An 18,828-nucleotide genomic window follows, 5' to 3' on the forward strand; every position below is an offset into this window, starting at 1 on the left:
CTGTCTCCAAAAAAAAACCCAGGCCGGGCGCAGTGGCTCACGCCTGTAATCCCAGCAATTTGGGAGGCCAAGGCAGGCGGATCACGAGGTCAGGAGATGGAGACCATCCTGGCCAACACAGTGAAACCCCATCTCTACTAAAAATACAAAAAATTGACCAGGCGTGGTGGCGGGTGCCTGTAGTCCCAGCTACTGGGGAGGCTGAGGCAGGAGAATGGCGTGAACCCAGGAGACAGAGCTTGCAGCGAGCCGAGATTGCGCCACTGCACTCCAGCCTGGGTGGCAAAGCCAGACTCCATCTCAAAAGAAAACAAAAAACAAAAACAAAATGTTCAGCAAGAGCTATTTTGAGTATTGCTTAAAAGCCAGTGCATCTGAATCATCAATTGACCTGCGATAAGGATGGACAGTTAACTAAACCACCTAGTGCCCTGGCTTTCCCTGAGAACCGTTCCCATACAGCACAGCAAAGCGGGAAGTGCGTGCAAGCCACATCAGATCCTGGCTTCAGCTGGGCAGACTTCTAGGCCTGAGGTAAGAAATCTGTCCTCAAGAGTAAGATTTCATGGAAACCTCACTGGCCTTGGGGAGGATTTGGGCTCTCTGCAGGTTCATGCAGCAAGCTAAGCCTCAGTATTCTCTTCTGGGACGTGTGCAGCACCCAATGCTGCTCATTTTCAGAGGAAAAACATAAGTCCTTACAATACTCTGACAGCCCCCACCTGACCTGCCTTTCCTTTCCTTACCCTCTCTGACCTCACCTGGGACCACTCTTCCCCACCCCTCACTCCTCTCCAGCCCCACCTGCCTCCTCAAACAGACAGATTTGCCCTAGGGCCTTTGCACTGACCTTTTTTTCCCCCTGTAAAGTTAGGGTCTCATTCTGTTACCCAAACTGGAACACAGTGGTGCAATCATAGCTCACTGCAGCCTCCAACTCCTGGGCTCAAGGGATCCTCCTGCCTCAGCTGCTCAAGTAGCTGGAAATACAGGCACAATGCCAGGGCACCCTACTTTGCACTTGACTTTTCATCTCCTTAGATGACTCTACCCCAGGTATCCACTTAGCCCACGCTCACTCCTCCAAATCTTTGCTAAAATGTCACCCTCACTGTAGCCCACCTGGCAAACCACCCTCTCAATCCCCAACCCAGTCCTTCCAATCTCTCAGCTTTCTCTTTTGTCCACGGCACTATTCACCTTCTAACACACTGCATAATTTACTTATTAAATATACTGTTAATGTTACAGCCGTTGCCACTGCCCCATGTAAGCTCGAGGAGGGAGAGATGTCCGTCTTCTTCTCTGATGAGTCCCCAACCCTTGAACCGCTCCTAGCACACAGCAGGTGCTCAAGCTGAAAGTCCGCACAGACCCCTTGGGAGAGGCCTTGAGCACGCAGCATCTCATCTCATCAGAGCATCTCCTTTCGTGTGCGTTTGATTAAACACCTGGAAAACTGGCTTATCTAGAATTTACAATGCAGTTTGGTCATTTAAAAGTTAGCCTGGGCCGGCGCGGTGGCTCACACCTGTAATCCCAGCACTTTGGGAGGCCGAGGCGGGTGGATCACAATGTCAGGAGATCGAGACCATCCTGGCTAACACGGTGAAACCCCGTCTCTACTAAAAAAAAAAAAAAAAAAAAAAAAAATTAGCCGGGCGTGGTGGCGGGCGCCTGTAGTCCCAGCTACTAGGGAGGCTGAGGCAGGAGAATGGCATAAACCCGGGAGGCGGAGCTTGCAGTGAGCAGAGATCGCGCCATTGCACTCCAGCCCGGGCGACAGAGCGAGACTCCGTCTCCAAAAAAAAAAAAAAGAGAAAGAAACCAAGTAGCGCCGAAACCAAGTAGCTGGCACTACTACACTCCAGCCTGGGCGACAGAGTGAGACTCTGTCTCAAAAAAAAGAAAAAAAAGAAGGCCGGGCGCGGTGGCTCACGCCTGTAATCCCAGCACTTTGGAAGGCCGAGGAGGGCGGATCACGAGGACAGGAGATGGAAACCATTCTGGCTAACACTGTGAAACCCCGTCTCTACTAAAAAATACAAAAAAATTAGCCAGGCGTGCTGGCGGCCGCCTGTAGTCCCAGCTACTGGGGAGGCTGGGGCAGGAGAATGGCGTGAACCTGGGAGGCGGAGTTTGCAGTGAGCCGAGTTCGCGCCACTGCACTCCAGCCTGGGCGACAGAGCGAGACTGTCTCAAAAAAAAAAAAAAAAAGCCTGAACGCGGTGGCTCACACCTGTAATCCCAGCACTTTGGGAGGCCGAGGAAGGAGGACAGCTTAAGCCCAGGAGTTGGAGACCAGCCAGGGCAACACATGGAGACCCCATCTCTACAAGATAATAAATAAATAAACAGCCAGCGTGGTGGCCCGCGCCTGAGGTCCCAGATACTCTGGATGCGCAGGTGGGAGGATCGCTCAGCACCGGGGGCTGAGGCTGCAGTGAGCCGAGATCGCACCACTGCACTCCAGCCTGGGCGACAGAGCGAGACCCTGTTCAAAAAAAAAAACACAAAACAAAACCAAAAAAAGTTGTTTGAAATGCTTAAAAACTACAGTTCACACAAAATCCTTCAAAACGTGGGATCCTTGGAGGTGTTTTGTTTTTCCACTTTTTGTTGTTAAAAAATGGGCCGAAAGTATCCTCTGGGTCAGTTTCTGTGGAATAAACTGTAAAGGCAAACGGTGGGACGCCCGAACCCGCCCGGCAGCCACGGTGGGACGCCCGAACCCGCCCGGCAGCCACGGTGGGACGCCCGAACCCGCCCGGCAGCCGCGCTGCGACCCCGCCTTCCCGCCCGCGTCGCTCCGCGCGGGGCCCGCGCCCTCACCGTCTCCCAGCGGATGCCCTGGACGGCCCTCCACTGCGAGGGCACGGACGCCACACCCAGGGTCTCGTCCTGCAGCGGCCCTGGCCGCCCCGGCCCCGGGCCGCTCGCAACCCCGACTGTCGCCAGCGCCGCAACACCAGCGCTTCCCGCCTGGCTGAGTGGCCCCGGCTGCGCGCGGGTTGCCATGGAGACGGTTCCGCCCTCTCGTGCGGACGCACTCAGGCGCGACCTCCGCCCCTACGCCGCCATGAGCGGAAAACGGGGAATGTGAGGCTGACGGCGCCATGTTTGAATTGGTCGCAGCGCCTCCTGCAAGACCTGGAAGAAAGAAAAGTAACGATTCTTCTCGGCCAGAGAGAGAAGCATGACCGGTTTTGCATACCCTGTCCCCAGAAAAAGCACTCTAAGAGTAGGCGCGCTACTCCTGGGCGAGGAAACTGCGGAAGTGAGGCATTGGTGCCAGGTTCAAAGATGGCGCTGAGCAGCCAAGCGCAGAAGCGAAGAGAGGGCGGCAGCCTGCGGCCGTGGCCGGCCCGCGAGGTCTGGGCCTGGGAGCGCAGATCTGGCTGAGCAGCTGATTCTTCCAGCAGATCCGAGAACCGCGCCACTCGAACAGGCTGTCACCTCGAAGCCAAGTGATCTCCCTTTAATCCTCAGTCTCTGTCTCAATAGAATGATGATGAAAAATATTCCTACGGAGATCCTAAATGTGGTTAAAAAGCTGGGAGGCCCAAATGAGGTCTTCTACAGAAACATGCTTATTAAATCGAAATTAAAAGCAAATAACTAAATAATGTGCCTACTGTGTGTCAGGCAAAGAGCCCAGAACGTCTCTTTCTTATTAAGTTCTCACCCTGAGGAAAGAATTGCTTTTTATACTATATTATGTCGTTCTGCCATTCCGCGCGCCCCACCGGAATTAAAAAAACTGGAGATTCTGACCTGAGGACTAAAAAATAAAAATAAAGAATAAACAAATAGGCCAGGTGCGGTGGCTCACACCTGTAATCCCGGTACTTTGAGAGGCCAAGGCAGGAGGATCGCTTGAAGCCAGGAGTTCGAAACCAGCCTGAGCAACATAGTGAGAGCCCGTCTCTACAAAAAAAATGTTTTAAAACTTAGCTGGGCATGGTGGCACGTGCCTGTAGTCCCACCTACTCGGCAGGCTGAGTGTAAAGATCCCTTGAGTCCAGTAGTTTGAGGCTGCAGTGAGCTATGATTACACCACTACACTACAGCCTGAGTGATAGAGCAAGACCCTATCTCTAAAAAAATAATAATAGGCCAGACGAGATGGCCAGCACTTTGGAAGGCCAAGGCAAGAGGATCACTTGAGCCCAGGAGTTTGAGACCTGCCTGGGCAACACAGCAAGACTCCCTCTCTACAAAAAAAAATTTTTTAATTGGCCAGGCATAGTGGCACACACCTGTAGTCCCAGCTGCTCCGGAGGCCAAGGTGAGAGGATCCCTGGAGTCAGGGAAATTGAGGCTGCAGAGAGCCCTGATTGAACCACGCTGTGCTTTAGCCTGGACAAGAGAGTGAGACCCTGTCTCAAAATAATAATAATAATAACAACAAAATAATAAAAAAATTCTAAAAAATGATCTGGGAAGGATAGATGCTACTTTTTTTTTTTTTTTTTAAGACAGAGTCTCACTCTGTCGCCCAAGGTGGAGTGCAGTGGCGTGATCTCGGCTCACAGCAACCTCCACCTCCCCAGTTCAAGCGATTCTCATGCCTCAGCCTCCCAAGCAGCTGGGATTACAGGCACATGCCACCACACTGGGCTAATTTTTGTATTTTTAGTAGAGAAGGGTTTCACCATGTTGGCCAAGCTGGTCTGGAACTCCTGATCTCAAATGATCTGCCCGCCTCAGCCTGCCAAAGTGCTGGGATTACAGGCGTGGGCCACTGCGCCCAGCCTGTTTGTTTTTTTTTGAGACAGAGTCTCGCTTTGTCGTCCAGGCTGGCGTGCAGTGGCACTATCTTGGCTCACAACAACCTCCACCTCCCAGGCTCAAGTGATTCTCCTGCCTCAGCCTCTCGAGTAGCTGGGATTACAGGCAACCGCCACCACGCCTGGCCAATTTTTTGTATTTTTAGTAGAGATGGGGTTTCACCGTGTTGGCCATGCTGCTTTGAAACTCCTGACCTCAGGTGAGCCACCTCACCTGACCTAATTTTTTTTTTTTTTTTTTTTTTTGAGACAGGGTCTGGCTGTGTCACCAGGCTGGAGTAGTGGTATGATCATGGCTCACTGCAGCCTCAACCTCTCCGGGCTCAGGCCATCCAACCACCTCAGCCTCCTAAGCAGCTGGGACTACAGGCATGCACTACCATCCCCAGCTAATTTTTGTGTTTTTGTAGAGATGGGGGCAGGGGTCTCCCCGTGTTGCCCAGGCTGGTCTCGAACTCCTGGGTTCAAGTGAACTGCTCACTTCTACCTCCCAAAGTGCTGGGAATACAGGCTAAGCCACTCCCCAGGCCAAAGCAGATGGTATTTGAAAACACAATTCAATCCCTTCAGGGCCCAAGATTCCGTCCCTGTACCCACCCTCTCTCCACCCCATGGCCTCTGCCTCCACCTGCTTCAAGCACACCCCTCAGGCCTCAGTTTACCACCACCTAGAAAGGCCCTTCCTCAAATGTAGACTGAAGAAAAAGGGACTTTTTAAAAACTCATTAAGGGGCCGGGCGCGGTGGCTCACAACTGGGAGGCCGAGGCGGGCGGATCACGAGGTCAGGAGATCGAGACCATCCTGGCTAACATGATGAAACCCCATCTCTACTAAAAAATACAAAAATTAGCCGGGCGTGGTGGCGGGCGCCTGTAGTCCCAACTACTCGGGAGGCTGAGCCAGGAGAATGGCATGAACCTGGGAGGTGGAGCTTGCGGTGAGCAGAGATCGCACCACTGCACTCCAGCCTGGGCGACAGAGGGAGACTCCGTCTCAAAAAAAAAAAAAAAAACACACACACAAACTCACTAAGGTCTGGTGTGGTGGCTCATGCCTAAGAGTTCGAGATCAGCCTGGGAAACATAGGGACACCTCGTCTCTAAGACAAAACCTATTTAAAAAATTAGGGCTGGGCGCAGTAGCTCACACCTGTAATCCCAGCACTTTTGGAGGCCGAGGCGGGTGGATCACCTGAGGTCAGGAGTTCGAGACCAGCCTGACCAACATGGTGAAACCCTGTCCTTACTAAAAATACAAAATTAGCGAGGCGTGGTGGCACATGCCTATAATTCCAGCTACTCCGGAGGCTGAGGCAGGAGAATCACTTGAACCTGGGAGGTGGAAGTGGCAGTGAGGCAAGATGGCGCCATTGCACTCCAGCCTGGGCAACAAGAGCAAGACTCTGTCTCAAAAAAAAAAAGTTAGCCAGGTGTAGTGGCATGCATCTATGGCCCAGTTACTCTGGAGGCTTAGTTGGGAGGATCGCTTGGGCCTGTGAGGTCAAGTGCAGTGAGCCATGATTGCGCCACTGTCTTCCAGCATGGGTGCCAGAGTGAGACCCTGTCAAAAAAAAAAAAAAAACCCTCAAAACTCATTATTATTATTATTTTTATTTTATTTTATTTTTGAGACGGAGTCTCGCTCTGTCGCCCAGGCTGGAGTGCAGTGGCACGATCTCGGCTCACTGCAACCTCCGCCTCCCGGGTTCACGCCGTTCTCCTGCCTCGGCCTCCCAAGTAGCTGGGACTACAGGCGCCCGCCACCACCCCCAGCTAAGTTTTTTTGTATTTTTAGTGGAGACAAGGTTTCACCGTGTTAGCCAGAATGGTCCCGATCTCCTGACCTTGTGATCTGCCCACCTCGGCCTCCCAAAGTGCTGGGATTACAGGCATGAGCCACTGTGCCCTGCCTATTATTTCTTTTTTTTTTTAAACAGTCTTGTTCTGTTGCCCAGAGTGGACTGCAGTGGTGTGATCTTGGCTCACTGCAACTGCTGCCTCCCGGGTTCAAGCGATTCTCCTGCCTCAGCCTTCAGAGTAGCGCATGCCACCACGCTCAACTAATTTTTTGTATGTTCAGTAGAGACAGGCTTTCACCATGTTAGCCAGGATGGTCTCGAGTTCCTGACCTCATGATCCGCCCACCTCAGCCTCCCAAAGTACTGGGATTATAGGCATGGGCCACCATGCCTGGCCTGACAAAGCTGTCTAATTTTATTTTTATTTTTTATTTATTTATTTATGTTTTTGAGATGGTGTCACGCTCTGTCATCCAGGCTCAAGTGTAGTGGCACAATCTCGGCTCATTGCAACCTTCACCTCTTGAGTTCAAGTGATTCTCTTGCCTCAGCCTCCCAAGTAGCTGGGACTACAGGCATGCACCACCACACCCGGCTAATTTTTGTATTTTTAGTAGAGACGGGGTTTCACCATATTGGCCAGGCTGGTCTCGAACTCCTGACCTCAGGATCTGCGCACCTCAGCCTCCCAAAGTGCTGGAATTACAGGCAAAAGCCACTGCGCCAGGTCAAAGCTGTTTTAATAATGAGGTTGTTGTGTTGAGCCGGCCGCAATGTTTCACGCCTGTAATCCCAGCAATTTGGGAGGCCAAGGCAGGTGGATCACCTGAGGTCAGGAGTTCCAGACCAGCCTGATGAACATGGTGAAACCCTGTCTCTACTAAAAATACAAAAATTAGCCAGATGTGGTGGTGCATGCCTGTAATCCCAGCTACTCCGGAGACCGAGGCAGGAGAATTGCTACCCCACTGCACTCCAGTCTGGGTAACAGAGTGAGACTCCATCTCAAAAAAAAAAAAAAAAAAACAAAAAGAAAAACCAGCCTGGCATGGTGGCTCACGCCTGTAATCCAGCAATTTGGGAGGCCGAGGTGGGCAGATCACCTGAGGTCAGGAGTTCAAGACCAGCCTGGCCAACATGGTGAAACCTTGTCTCTACAAAAATACAAAAATTATACGGGTGACATAGCGGGTGCCTGTTATCTCAGCTACTCGTGAGTCTGAGGCAGGAGAATCGCTTGAACCCAGGAAGTGGAGGTTGGAGTGAGCCGAGATTGAGCCGTTGCACTCCAGCCTGGGCAATAAGAGTGAAACTCTGTCTCAGAAAAAGACAAACCAAAAAATTAGCCGGGCGTGGTGTCAGGCACCTGTATTCCCAGCTACTTTGGAGGCTCCCATGCATCAGGTCCTAATAACAATCACACTTACTTGATCCTCAGGGGATGAATGTCTGAAAAAAAGCCGGCCGGGCTTGGTGGCTCATGCCTGTAATCCCAGCATTTTGGGAGGCCGAGGTAGGCGGATCACCTGAGGTCAGGAGTTGGAGACCAGCCTAGCCAACATGGTGAAACCCCGTCTCTACTAAAAATACAAAAATTAGCTGGGCGTGGTGGCAGGCGCCTGTAATCCCAGCTACTAGGGAGGCAGAGGCAGAAGAATCACTTGGACCTGGGAGGTGGAGGTTGCTGTGAGCCGAGATTGCACCCCTGCAATCCAGCCTGGCGACAGAGCGAGACTCCATCTCAAAAAAAAAAAAGAAACCCCATCTCTACTAAACATACAAAAAATTAGCTGGGCATGGTTGCATGTGCCTGTAGTCCCAGCTACTTTGGAGGCTGAGGCAGGAGAATCACTTGAACCTGGGAGGCGGAGGTTGCAGTGAGCCGAGATTGCGCCATTGCACTCCAGCCTGGGCAACAGCGCGAGACTCCGTCTTGGGGAAAAAAAAAAAGAGCCTGAAACCTGAAGGGGGCTCAATCAATGGTGGCCATAATGAAAGCGCCATCTGCCCATGCTCTTTGTGTTGAGAGGCTGGTGTGCCCTACAGATGGATACTGGACATAAAGCAGCAGGATATTCATAATTCCAAAACACAAGTGTTACAGTCTTGGGTGTTTTGTTTTGTTTTATTTGAGATGGAGTTTTGCTCTTGTTGCCCAGGCTGGAGTGCAATGGCGCGATCTCGGCTCACTGCAACCTACTTCCTGGGTTCAAGCAATTCTCCCTGCCTCAGCCTCCCGAGTAGCTGGGATTACAGGCACCCGCCACCATTCATGGCTAATTTATTTATTTATTTTTTTGCAGGCAGAGTCTCACTCTATCCCCCAGGCTGGAGTGTAGTGGCACGATCTTGGCTCACTGCAACCTTCACCTCCTAGGTTCAAGTGATCCTCCTGCTTCAGCCTACAGAGTAGCTGGGATTACAGACAACTGCCACCATGCTGGGCTAATTTTTGTAGGTTTCACCATGTTAGCCAGGCTGGTCTCGAGCTCCTGACCTCGGGTGATCCACCTGCCTTGGCCTCCCAAAGTGCTGGGACTACAGGAGTGAGCCACTGCACCCAGCCTTTTTTTTCTTTTGAGACGGAGTTTCTGCCTCACAGGTTCAAGCATTTCTCATGTCTCAGTCTCCTGAGTAGCTGGGACTACAGGCGTGGGCCACCACACCTGGCTAATTTTTGTATATTTGGTAGAGATGGGGTTTGGCCAGGCTGGTCTCAAACTCCTGACCTCAGGTGATCCGCCTGCCTCAGCCTCCCAAAGTGCTAGGATTACAGGCGTGAGCCACGGCGCCCGGCCCCAATTCATTCTTAATGATCCAGATTGAACCTCTCTGATCTCTGCCAGTGGATTATTTATTTATCTATCATGTTTTTTTTTCATTCTAGTAACTACAAATAGGAAACCAGAGGGGGAGCCCCAGGCTGGGACAAACAATGGCCACCCCCTCCTTGACATTACAGTGGAACAACGTGGCCCCTACATCCTTTATGGTCAATTCAGGCCCCACTCCTTCCTCTTCTTCTGCTGCAGTGTAGGGACCTCAAACTCCTCCTGCTTTGTTTCCTGTACCCCAAAGGGGATTGTCTGACCTAGTGCAGGGACTAGGGAAGGAGAGGAAGGAAGAAAAGTGAGTGTGAGCTCCATGGAGTGACAAAGACACAGGCTGGGCTGGGGACATTTTTGAGAATAAGCACCCCCGCAGATGGCCATACCTGCTACTGCCAGGACAGTGGAGGAGGGTGTGCTAGGATGAGATGGGGCTTGGGCTCCTTTTAATCTGCAAGTAGATGTATTTGTTCCATTTTCTGTAGCCCAATTAGGTTTTGTTCATATCTATTATAGTTTTTTTCTTTTTTTTTTTTTTTTTTTTTGAGACAGGGTATCACTCTTGTCACCCAAGCTGGAATGCAGTGGCACCATCATGGCACACTGCAGCCTCAACATCCAGTGCTCAAGTGATCTCCCAGCTCAGCCTCCCTAGTAGCTGGGACTACAGGTACACGCCATCATGCCCAGTTAATTTTTTGTATTTTTTGTAGAGAGTGGGTTTCACCCTGTGGCCAAGGCTGTCTTGACCTCCTGGGCTCAAGCGATTCGTCTGCCTCGGCCTTTCAAAAACCTGGAATTACAAGTGTGAGCTACTGCACCCAGGCTTTTTTTTTTTTTTTTTTTTTTGAGACGGAGTTTTGCTCTTCTTGCCCAGGCTGGAGTGCAATGGCGTGGTCTTGGCTCACCGCAAACTTCACCTCCCCGGTACAAGCGATTCTCCTGCCTCAGCCTCCCGAATAGCTGGGATTACAGGTGGCCGCCACCACACCTGGCTAATTTTTTTTTGTATTTTTAGTAAAAACAGGGTTTCACCATGTTAGCTAGGTTTGTCTTGAACCTCTAACCTCAGGTGATCAGCCTTCCAAAGTGCTGGGATTACAGGCGTGAGCCACCACGCCCAGCCTGTTTAGCATATCCTTCCCCGATGGTCACAATGCCTCCTCCCCACGTCCTTGATGTCTCTGTTCAAAAGCCAACTCATTAGGGAAATATTACCTTATTTTGTGTATTTTGTTCAAAGCACTGATTACAATCACTGCTGCCTCACATATATTAGACACTCTATAAGTATTGTTTAAATGAATGAATATGGTTCTGTGTAGGCAATTGTTCTAAATATGTCAATACCAGTATTTCATTTTTCTTTTTTTTTTTTAGACAGAGTCTTGCTCTGTCACCCACACTGGGGTGAAGTGTCGCGATCCTGGCTCACTTCAACCTCTGCCTTGTGGGTTCAAGCAATTCTCCAGTCTCAGCCTCCCAAGTAGCTCGCTTTACAGGTGCCTGCCACCACGCCCAACTAATTTTTGTATTATTAGTAGAGACAGGGTTTCACCATGTTGGCCAGGCTGGTCACGAACTCCTGACCTCAGGTGATCCACCCGCCTCAGCCTCCCAAAGTGCTGGGATTACAGGCGTGAGCCACCGTGCCCCACCAGTATTTCGTTTTTCAACATTATACATGCAGCACCAATTCTGTTGAAAAAAACGTTGGCCAGGTGAAGTAGCTCACACCTGTAATCCCAGCACTTTGGAAGGCCTAAGGGTGGAGGAGCACTTGAGCTCAGGAGTTCAAGACCAGCCTGGGCAACATAGCAAGATCCCATCTCTTTTTTAACAAAAATAAAAATAAAAACAAGAAAAATATAACACATAAACAGTTATTTGGGTAAAATTATAACTGTGAATTTTTTTTCTTTTTCTTTTTCTTTTTTTTTTTTTTGAGATAGAGTCTCGCTCTGTCACCCAGTCTGGAGTACATTGGCGCAATCTCGGCTAACTGAAAGCTCCACCTCCAGGGTTCAAACAATTCTCCGGCCTCAGCCTCCTGAGTAGCTGGGATTACAGGCGCCCGCCACCACGACCAGCTAATTTTTGAATTTTTAGTAGAGACAGGATTTCACCATGTTGGTCAGGCTGGTCTCAAACTCCTGACCTCGTGTTCCACCCTCCTCGGCCTCCCAAAGTGCTGGGAATACAGGCGTGAGCCACCGTGCCTGGCCAAATCTGTGAATTTCAAAGTTACTCAGCCAGAGATGGGTCATGTTAGTCTCACCGTTATATTTGCCATGACCTTAAATTAGGGCTTTCTCATAAAAAGTACTTAATCAACACGTATTGAATAAAACAAATGTGTTGGGACCAGGCGCGGTGGTTCACACCTGTAATTCCAGTACATTAAGAGGCTGAGGCAGGTGGATCACCGGAGGTCAGGAGATCAAGAACAACCTGACCAATATGGTGAAACGCTGTCCCTACTAAAAATACAAAAATTAGCTAGGCATGATGGCACACGCCCGTAATCCCACCTACTTGGGAGGCTAAGGCAGGAAAATCGCTTGAACTCGGGAGGCAGAGGTTGCAGTGAGCCGAGATTGCACCACTATACTCCGGCCTGGGCGACAGAGTGAGACTCTGTGTCAAAAAAAAAAAAAAAAAAAAAAGTCGGGCCCAGTGGCTCACGCCTGTAATTCCAACACTTTGGGAGGCTGAGGCAGGCAGCTCATGAGGTCAGGAGTTCAACACCACCCTGACCAACATGGTGAAACCCCGTCTCTACTAAAAAAAAAAAAAAAAATTAGCCGGGCATGGTGGCGGGCGCCTGTAGTCCCAGCTACTCGGGAGGCTGAGGCAGGAGAATCGCTTGAACCCAGGAGGCGGTGGTTGTAGTGAGCCTAGATGGCACCACTGCACTCCAGCCTGGGAGACAGAGCAAGACTCCGTCTCAAAAAAATAGAAAAAAAATGTGTTGGATCAATTGACAAATATTTTGGAAAAATAACTTTGGGAGCCTAAGGCGGGCAGATCACTTGAGGTCAGCAGTTCGAGACCTGCCTGGCCAACATGGAGAAAACCCATCTCTACTAAAAATACAAAAGTTAGCCGGGCGTGGGCATGGTGGTGGGCGCCTGTAATTCCATCTATTTGGGAGGCTGAGGCATGAGAATTGCTTGAACCTGGGAGGTGGAGGTTGCAGTGAACCAAGATCGTGCCACTGCTCTCCAGCCTTGGTGACAGAGTGAGACCCTGTCTCAGAAAAAAAAAAAAAAAAAAAGCCAAAATACATCCACACATCATACTACAAAATTAATTCAGGTTGGTTATAAACTGGAATGTTAAAAATGAAGACAATGCCGGGCATGGTGGCCCACGCCTGTAATCCCAGCAGTTTGGGAGGCTGAGGTGGGCGGATCACTTGAGGTCAAGAGTTCAAGACTAGCCTGACCAACATGATGAAACCCCATCTCTACTAAAAACACAATAATTAGCTGGGCGTGGTCAGTGCCTATAATCCCAGCTACTCCGGAGGCTGAGGCAGGAGAATCCCTTGAACCCAGGAGGCAGAGGTTTCAGTGACCTGAGATTGTGCCACTGCATTCCAACCTGGGTGACAGAGCAAGACTCCATCTCAAAAAAAAAAAAAAAGAAGATAAGGCCTGGCATGGTGACTCATGCCTGTTGTAATCCCAGCACTTTCAGAAGCTAAGGTGGATGGATCACTTGAGCCCAGAAGTTCAAGACCAGCCTGAGCAAAATGGCAAAACCCTGTTGCTACGAAATACAAAAATTAGGCCAGGCGCGGTGGCTCACTCCTGTAATTCCAGCACTTTGGGAAGCAGAGGGGGGTGGATCACGAGGTCAGGAATTCAAGACCAGCCTGGCCAACATGGTGAAACCCCATCTCTATGAAAAATACAAAAATTGGCCAGGTGTGGTGGTGGGCACCTGTAATCCCAGCTACTCAGGAGGTTGAGGCAGGAGAATCGCTTGAACCCGGGAGGCAGAGGTTGCAGTGAGCCGAGATCACGCCATTGCACTCCAGCCTGGGCAACAGAGCAAAACTCCATCTCAAAAAAAATAATAATAATAATTAGGAGTGGTGATATGTGCCTTTAGTGCCAGCTACTAGGCTAAGGTGAGAGGATAACCTGAGCCCTAGGAGGCTGAGGTTGCAGTAAACTGTGATTATTTATTTTTATTTTTTATTTTTTTATTGAGATGGAGTCTCACACTGTCGCCCAGGATGGTGTGCAGTGGCACAATCTCAGCTTGCTGCAACCTCCGCCTCCCTGGTTCAAGCGATTCTCCTGCCTCAGCCTCCCGAGTAGCTGGGACTACAGGCGCCCGCCACCACGCCCGGCTAATTTTTGTATTTCTAGTAGAGATGGGGTTTCATTATGTTGGCCAGGCTGGTCTCACCTTGTGATCCGCCCGCCTCGTCCTGTATTTTTTTCTTTTTTGAGACACAGCCTCGCTCTGACACCAGGCTGGAGTGCAGTGGCTCCATCTCAGCTCACTGCAACCTCCACCTCCCTGGTTCAAGTGATTCTCCTGCCTCAGCTTCACGAGTTGCTGGGATTACAGGCATTCGCCACCACGCCCAGCTAATTTTTTTTTTTTTTTGAGAGGGAGTCTCACCCTGTTGCCAGGCTGGAGTGCAGTGGCGCAATCTTGGTTCACTGCAACCTCTGCCTCCTGGGTTCAAGCGATTCTCCTGCCTCAGCCTCCCGAGTAGCTGGGACTACAGGTGCGTGCCATCATGCCCAGCCAATTTTTGTATTTGTAGTAGAGATGGGGTTTCACCATGTTGGCCAGGATGGTCTCGATCTCTTTTTTTTTTTTTTTTTTTTTGAGATGGAGTCCCGCTCTGTCACCAGGCTGGAGTGCAGTGGCACAATCCCAGCTCACTGCAACTTCTGCCTCCCAGGTTCAAGCGATTCTCCTGCCTCAGCCTCCCGAGTAGCTGGGATTACAGGCGTGAGCCACTATGCCCAGCTAATTTTTGTACTTTTAATAGAGACGGGGTTTCATCATGTTGGCCAGGATGGTCTTGATCTCCTGACCTTGTGATCCGCCCGCCTTGGCCTCCCAAAGTGCTGGGATTACAGGCGTGAGCCACCACGCCCGGCCAGTCTCGATCTCTTGACCTTGTAATCTGCCCGCCTCCGCCTCCCAGAGTGCTGGGATTACAGGCATGAGCCACTGCGTCTGGCCACAACGCCCAGCTAATTTTTGTATTTTTAGTAGAGACGGGTTTCACAATATTGGCCAGGATGGTCTCCATCTCCTGACCTTGTGATCCGCCCGCCTTGGCGTGAGCCACTGCATTGGGTCGTAAATCACGATTGTGTCATCACACTCCAGCGCCAGCTTGGGTAACAGAGTGAGACCATTCTAAAAAAAAAAAAAAAAGGCTGGGCGCAGTGGCTCACACCTGTTATCCCAGCATTTTGGGAGGCTGAGATGGGTGGATCACAAGGTCAGGAGTTTGAGACCAGCTTGGCCAACATGGGGAAATCCCATCTCTACTAAAAATACAAAAATTAGCAGGGATGGTGGCATGCACCTGTAATCCCAGCTACTGGGGAGGCTGAGGCATGAGAATCGCTTGATCCCAGGAGGTAGAAGTTGCAGTGAGCTGAGATCATGCCACTGCACCCCTGGAAAACAGAGCGAGACTCAGTCTAAAAAAAAGGAAAAAAAAAAAAAAGAAAAGGAAAGATCAAGTGCCTTGAATACATAGAAATAAAATACTTACCGGGACAGTGTATATGGAGGTCAAAATATGCTAAGGAGTGTATAACAACTAACCTGCCATATGGCCAGGTGCAGTGGCTCACACCTGTAATCCCAGCACTTTGAGAGACCGAGGCCGGTGGATCACCTGAGGTCAGGAGTTTGAGACCAGCCTGACCAACATGGCAAAACCCCGTCTCTACTAAAAATATATAATTGGGCCGGGTGTGGTGGCTCACACCTGTAATCCCAGCACTTTGGGAGGCCGAGGCGGGCGGATCACGAGGTCAGGAGATCAAGACCATCCTGGCTAACACGGTGAAACTCCGTCTCTACTAAAAATACAAAAAATTAGCCAGGCGTGGTGGCATGCGCCTGTAGTCCCAGCTACTCGGGAGGCTGAGGCAGGAGAATGGCGTGAACCTGGGAAGTGTAGCTTGCAGTGAGCCGAGATTGCGCCACTGCACTCCAGCCTGGGCGACAGAGCGAGACTCTGTCTCAAAAAAATTTAAGAAATTAAAAAAAATTTTTAAAATTAAAATTAAAAAGAAGGCCCAGCGCAGTGGCTCACACTTCTAGTCCCAGCACTTCAGGAGGCTGAGGTGGTCAGATCACCTGAGGTCGGGAGTTCAAGACCAGCATGAGCAACATGGAGAAACCCTGTCTCTACTAAAAATACAAAATTAGCCGGGCGTAGTGGCACATGCCTCTAATCCCAGCTACCTGGGAGGTTGAGGTAGGAGAATCGCTTGAACCTAGGAGGCATAGGTTGCGGTGAGCCGACATCGCACTATTGCACGCCATCCTGGGCAACAAGAGCGTAACTTTGTTTGAGATGGAGTCTCGCTCTGTTGCCTAGGCTGGTGATGAGTGGCACAAACTTGGCTCATTGCAACCTCTGCCCCCCAGGTTCAAGGGATTCTCCTGCCTCAGCCTCCCTAGTAGCTGCGATTACAGGTGTGTGCCACAATGCACGCTTATATTTTTTGTATTTTTAGTAAAGACGGGGTTTCACTATGTTGCTGAGCCAGGTCTTGAAATCCTGAGCTTGTGATCCGCCAGTCTCGGCCTCCCACAGTGCTGAAATTTCAGGCATGAGCCACTGCACCTGGCCTAAAAATACAAAAATTGACTGGGCATGGTGGTGAACACCTGTAATCCCAGCTACTTGAGTCTGAGGCATGAAAATTGCTTTGACTGATGAGGCAGAGATTGCACTAAGTCAAGATCTTGCCACTGTACTCCAGCATGGGTTACAGAGTAAGACTCTGTCTCAAAGGAAAAAAAAAAGGCTGGACACCGCTGGTGGGTCACACCTGTAACCCCAGCACTTTGGGAGCCCAAGGGGCGGATCACCGGAAGTCAGGAGTTTGGGACCAGCCTGGCCAACATGGTGAAACTCCGTCTCTACTAAAAATACAAAAAAATAGCTGGGCGTCGTGGTGGGTGCCTGTAATCCCAGCTACTCGGGAGGCTAAGGCAGGAAAATCGCTTGAACCTGGGAGGCAGAGGTTGCAGTGAGCTGAGATTGTGCCATATCACCCCAGCCTGGGTGACAAGAGTGAAATTCCATCTCAGAAAAAAAAAGAGAGGCCAAACACAGTGGCTTACACCTATAATCCCAGCACTTTGGGAGGCTGAGGCGGGCAGATCATGAGGTCAAGAGATCGAGACCACCCTGGCCAACATGGTGAAACTCCATCTCTACTAAAAATACAAAAATTAGCTGGGTGTGGTGGCCCACACCTGTAGTCCCAGCTATTCGGGAAGCTGAAGCAGGAGAATTGCTTGAACCTGGGAGGAGGAGGTTGTAGTGAGCCGAGATCACACCACTGCACTTCAGCCTGGCAACAGAGTGAGACTCCATCTCAAACAACAACAACAAAAGAAAAAAAAAAAAAAAGAGAGAGAGAAACGCGGTGGGGTGTGGTGGCTCAGGCCTGTAATCCCAGCACTTTGGGAGGCTGAGGCAGTGGATCACCCGAGGTCAGGAGTTGGAGACCAGCCAGCCTGACCAACATGGTGAAACCCCGTCTCTACTAAAAATACAAAATCAGCCAGGCGTGGTGGCACGTGCCTGTAATCCCAGCTACTTGGGAGGCTGAGGCAGGAGAATCGCTTGAACCTGGGAGGCAGAAGTTGCAGTGAGCCCAGATTGCACCATTGCACTCCAGCCTGGGCAACAAAAGCGAAACTCCGTCTCAAAAAAAAAAAAAAAAAAGAAACACCCAAGAATGGGCAGTTTAGAAAAGCAGTAGCATCATCAGTCAAGAAACACATGAAGAACTTCGGCTGGGCACAGTGATGAGCACCTGTCCCAGCTACCAGAGAGGCTGAGGTGGGAGGGTCACTTGAGCCCAGGAGTTCAAGACTACAGGGAGCTGTGATCCTGCTTCTGTGCACTCCAGCCTGGGCAATAGAGTGGGACCCTGTCTCTCTTTTTTTTTTTTTTTTTGAGATGGAGTCTTGCTCTGTCACCCAGGCTGCAGTGAAGTGACTTGATTTCAGTTCACTGCAAACTCCGCCTCCTGGGTTCAAGCAATTCTCCTGCCTCAGCCCCCCAAGTAGTTAGGATTACAGGCACATGCACCAGGCCTGGCTAATTCTTTTTTTTTTTTTTTTTTTTTTGAGACGGAGTCTCACTCTGTCTCCAGGCTGGAGGGCAGTGGCCGATCTCGATTCAATGTAACCTCTGCCTCCCGGGTTGAAGTGATTCTCCTGCCTCAGCTTCCAGAGTAGCTGGGACTACAGGTGCGTGCCACCACGTCCAGCTAATTTTTGTTATTTTTTATTTATTTATTTTTTGAGACGGAGTCTTGCTCTGTCGCCCAGGCTGGAGTGCAGCGGCTCGATCTCGGCTCACTGCAAGCTCTGCCTCCTGGGTTCAAGCCATTCTCCTGCCTCAGCCTCCCGAGTAGCTGGGACTACAGGTGCCCGCCACCATGCCCGGCTAATTTTTTTTGTATTTTTAGTAGAGACGGGGTTTCACCGTGTTAGCCAGGATGGTCTCGATCTCCTGACCTCATGATCCGCCCGCCTCGGCCTCCCAAAGTGCTGGAATTACAGGCTTGAGCCACCGCGCCCGGCCTAATTTTTGTATTTTTATTTATTTATTTATTTATTTATTGAGACGGAGTCTCGCTCTGTCGCCCAGGCTGGAGTGCAGTGGCGCGATCTCAGCTCACTGCAACCTCCACCTCCTGGGTTCACACCATTCTCCTGCCTCAGCCTCCCGAGTAGCTGGGACTACAGGCGCCCACCTGCATGCTTGGCTAAATTTTTGTATTTTTAGTAGACGGGGTTTCACCGTTTAGCCAGGATGGTCTTGATCTCCTGAACTCGTGATCCGCCCGTCTCGGCCTCCCAAAGTGCTAGGATTACAGGTGTGAGCCACCGCGCCCGGCCAATTTTTGTATTTTTAGTAGAGACAGGGTTTCACCTTGTTGGCCAGGATGGTCTGGATGTCTTGACCTCGTGATCCGCCAGGCCTGGCTAATTTTTATAGTTTCAGTAGAAACGGGGTTTCCCCATGTTGGCCAGGCTAGTCTCAAACTCCTGACCTCAGGTGATGTGCCCGCCTCAACCTCCCAAAATGCTGAGATTACAGTTGTGAGCCACTACACTGACCCTGTCTCTAAAAAAAAAAAAAAAGTTTAATCTCATTAATAATAC

The 18,828-nt window shown here is 50.5% G+C and overlaps 1 protein-coding gene and 1 pseudogene across 3 annotated transcripts in view, besides 6 other annotated features; both read right to left on the reverse strand.

Annotated features, from left to right (window-relative positions):
- Positions 1-18,828, reverse strand: part of DYNC2I2 (dynein 2 intermediate chain 2) — a 50,808-nt gene that overhangs the window by 20,056 nt on the left and 11,924 nt on the right. For 2 of the 3 annotated variants that reach the window (XM_011519179.3, XM_047424057.1), the window contains exon 2: positions 2,833-3,150. In XM_011519179.3, the coding sequence (XP_011517481.1) occupies positions 2,833-3,018 (186 nt within the window). In that variant the 5' untranslated portion in view covers positions 3,019-3,150. Of the gene's footprint in view, positions 1-2,832; positions 3,151-18,828 lie in introns of those variants that run through there. The other variant, NM_052844.4, reaches the window with a different exon arrangement.
- Positions 2,551-3,195: an enhancer, noted in NCBI's record as "NANOG-H3K27ac-H3K4me1 hESC enhancer chr9:131418538-131419182 (GRCh37/hg19 assembly coordinates)". NCBI's record gives its function as "activates a minimal SCP1, AML or CMV promoter by ChIP-STARR-seq in naive H9 embryonic stem cells {active_cell/tissue: H9 hESC(naive)}" and the evidence as "EXISTENCE:reporter gene assay evidence [ECO:0000049][PMID:30033119]".
- Positions 2,659-2,988: a silencer, noted in NCBI's record as "silent region_20346". NCBI's record gives its function as "represses an Ori minimal core promoter by ATAC-STARR-seq in GM12878 lymphoblastoid cells {active_cell/tissue: GM12878}" and the evidence as "EXISTENCE:reporter gene assay evidence [ECO:0000049][PMID:35858748]".
- Positions 3,169-3,378: an enhancer, noted in NCBI's record as "active region_29087". NCBI's record gives its function as "activates an Ori minimal core promoter by ATAC-STARR-seq in GM12878 lymphoblastoid cells {active_cell/tissue: GM12878}" and the evidence as "EXISTENCE:reporter gene assay evidence [ECO:0000049][PMID:35858748]".
- Positions 3,169-3,839: a biological region, named in NCBI's record as "NANOG-H3K27ac-H3K4me1 hESC enhancer GRCh37_chr9:131419183-131419826".
- Positions 3,196-3,839: an enhancer, noted in NCBI's record as "NANOG-H3K27ac-H3K4me1 hESC enhancer chr9:131419183-131419826 (GRCh37/hg19 assembly coordinates)". NCBI's record gives its function as "activates a minimal SCP1, AML or CMV promoter by ChIP-STARR-seq in naive H9 embryonic stem cells {active_cell/tissue: H9 hESC(naive)}" and the evidence as "EXISTENCE:reporter gene assay evidence [ECO:0000049][PMID:30033119]".
- On the reverse strand, positions 9,426-9,870 carry HMGA1P4 (high mobility group AT-hook 1 pseudogene 4; annotated as a pseudogene).
- Positions 14,097-14,597: an enhancer, noted in NCBI's record as "H3K4me1 hESC enhancer chr9:131430084-131430584 (GRCh37/hg19 assembly coordinates)". NCBI's record gives its function as "activates a minimal SCP1, AML or CMV promoter by ChIP-STARR-seq in primed H9 embryonic stem cells {active_cell/tissue: H9 hESC(primed)}" and the evidence as "EXISTENCE:reporter gene assay evidence [ECO:0000049][PMID:30033119]".

This window comes from Homo sapiens, chromosome 9, assembly GCF_000001405.40.
Source record: "Homo sapiens chromosome 9, GRCh38.p14 Primary Assembly".
Classification (NCBI taxonomy): domain Eukaryota; kingdom Metazoa; phylum Chordata; class Mammalia; order Primates; family Hominidae; genus Homo; species Homo sapiens.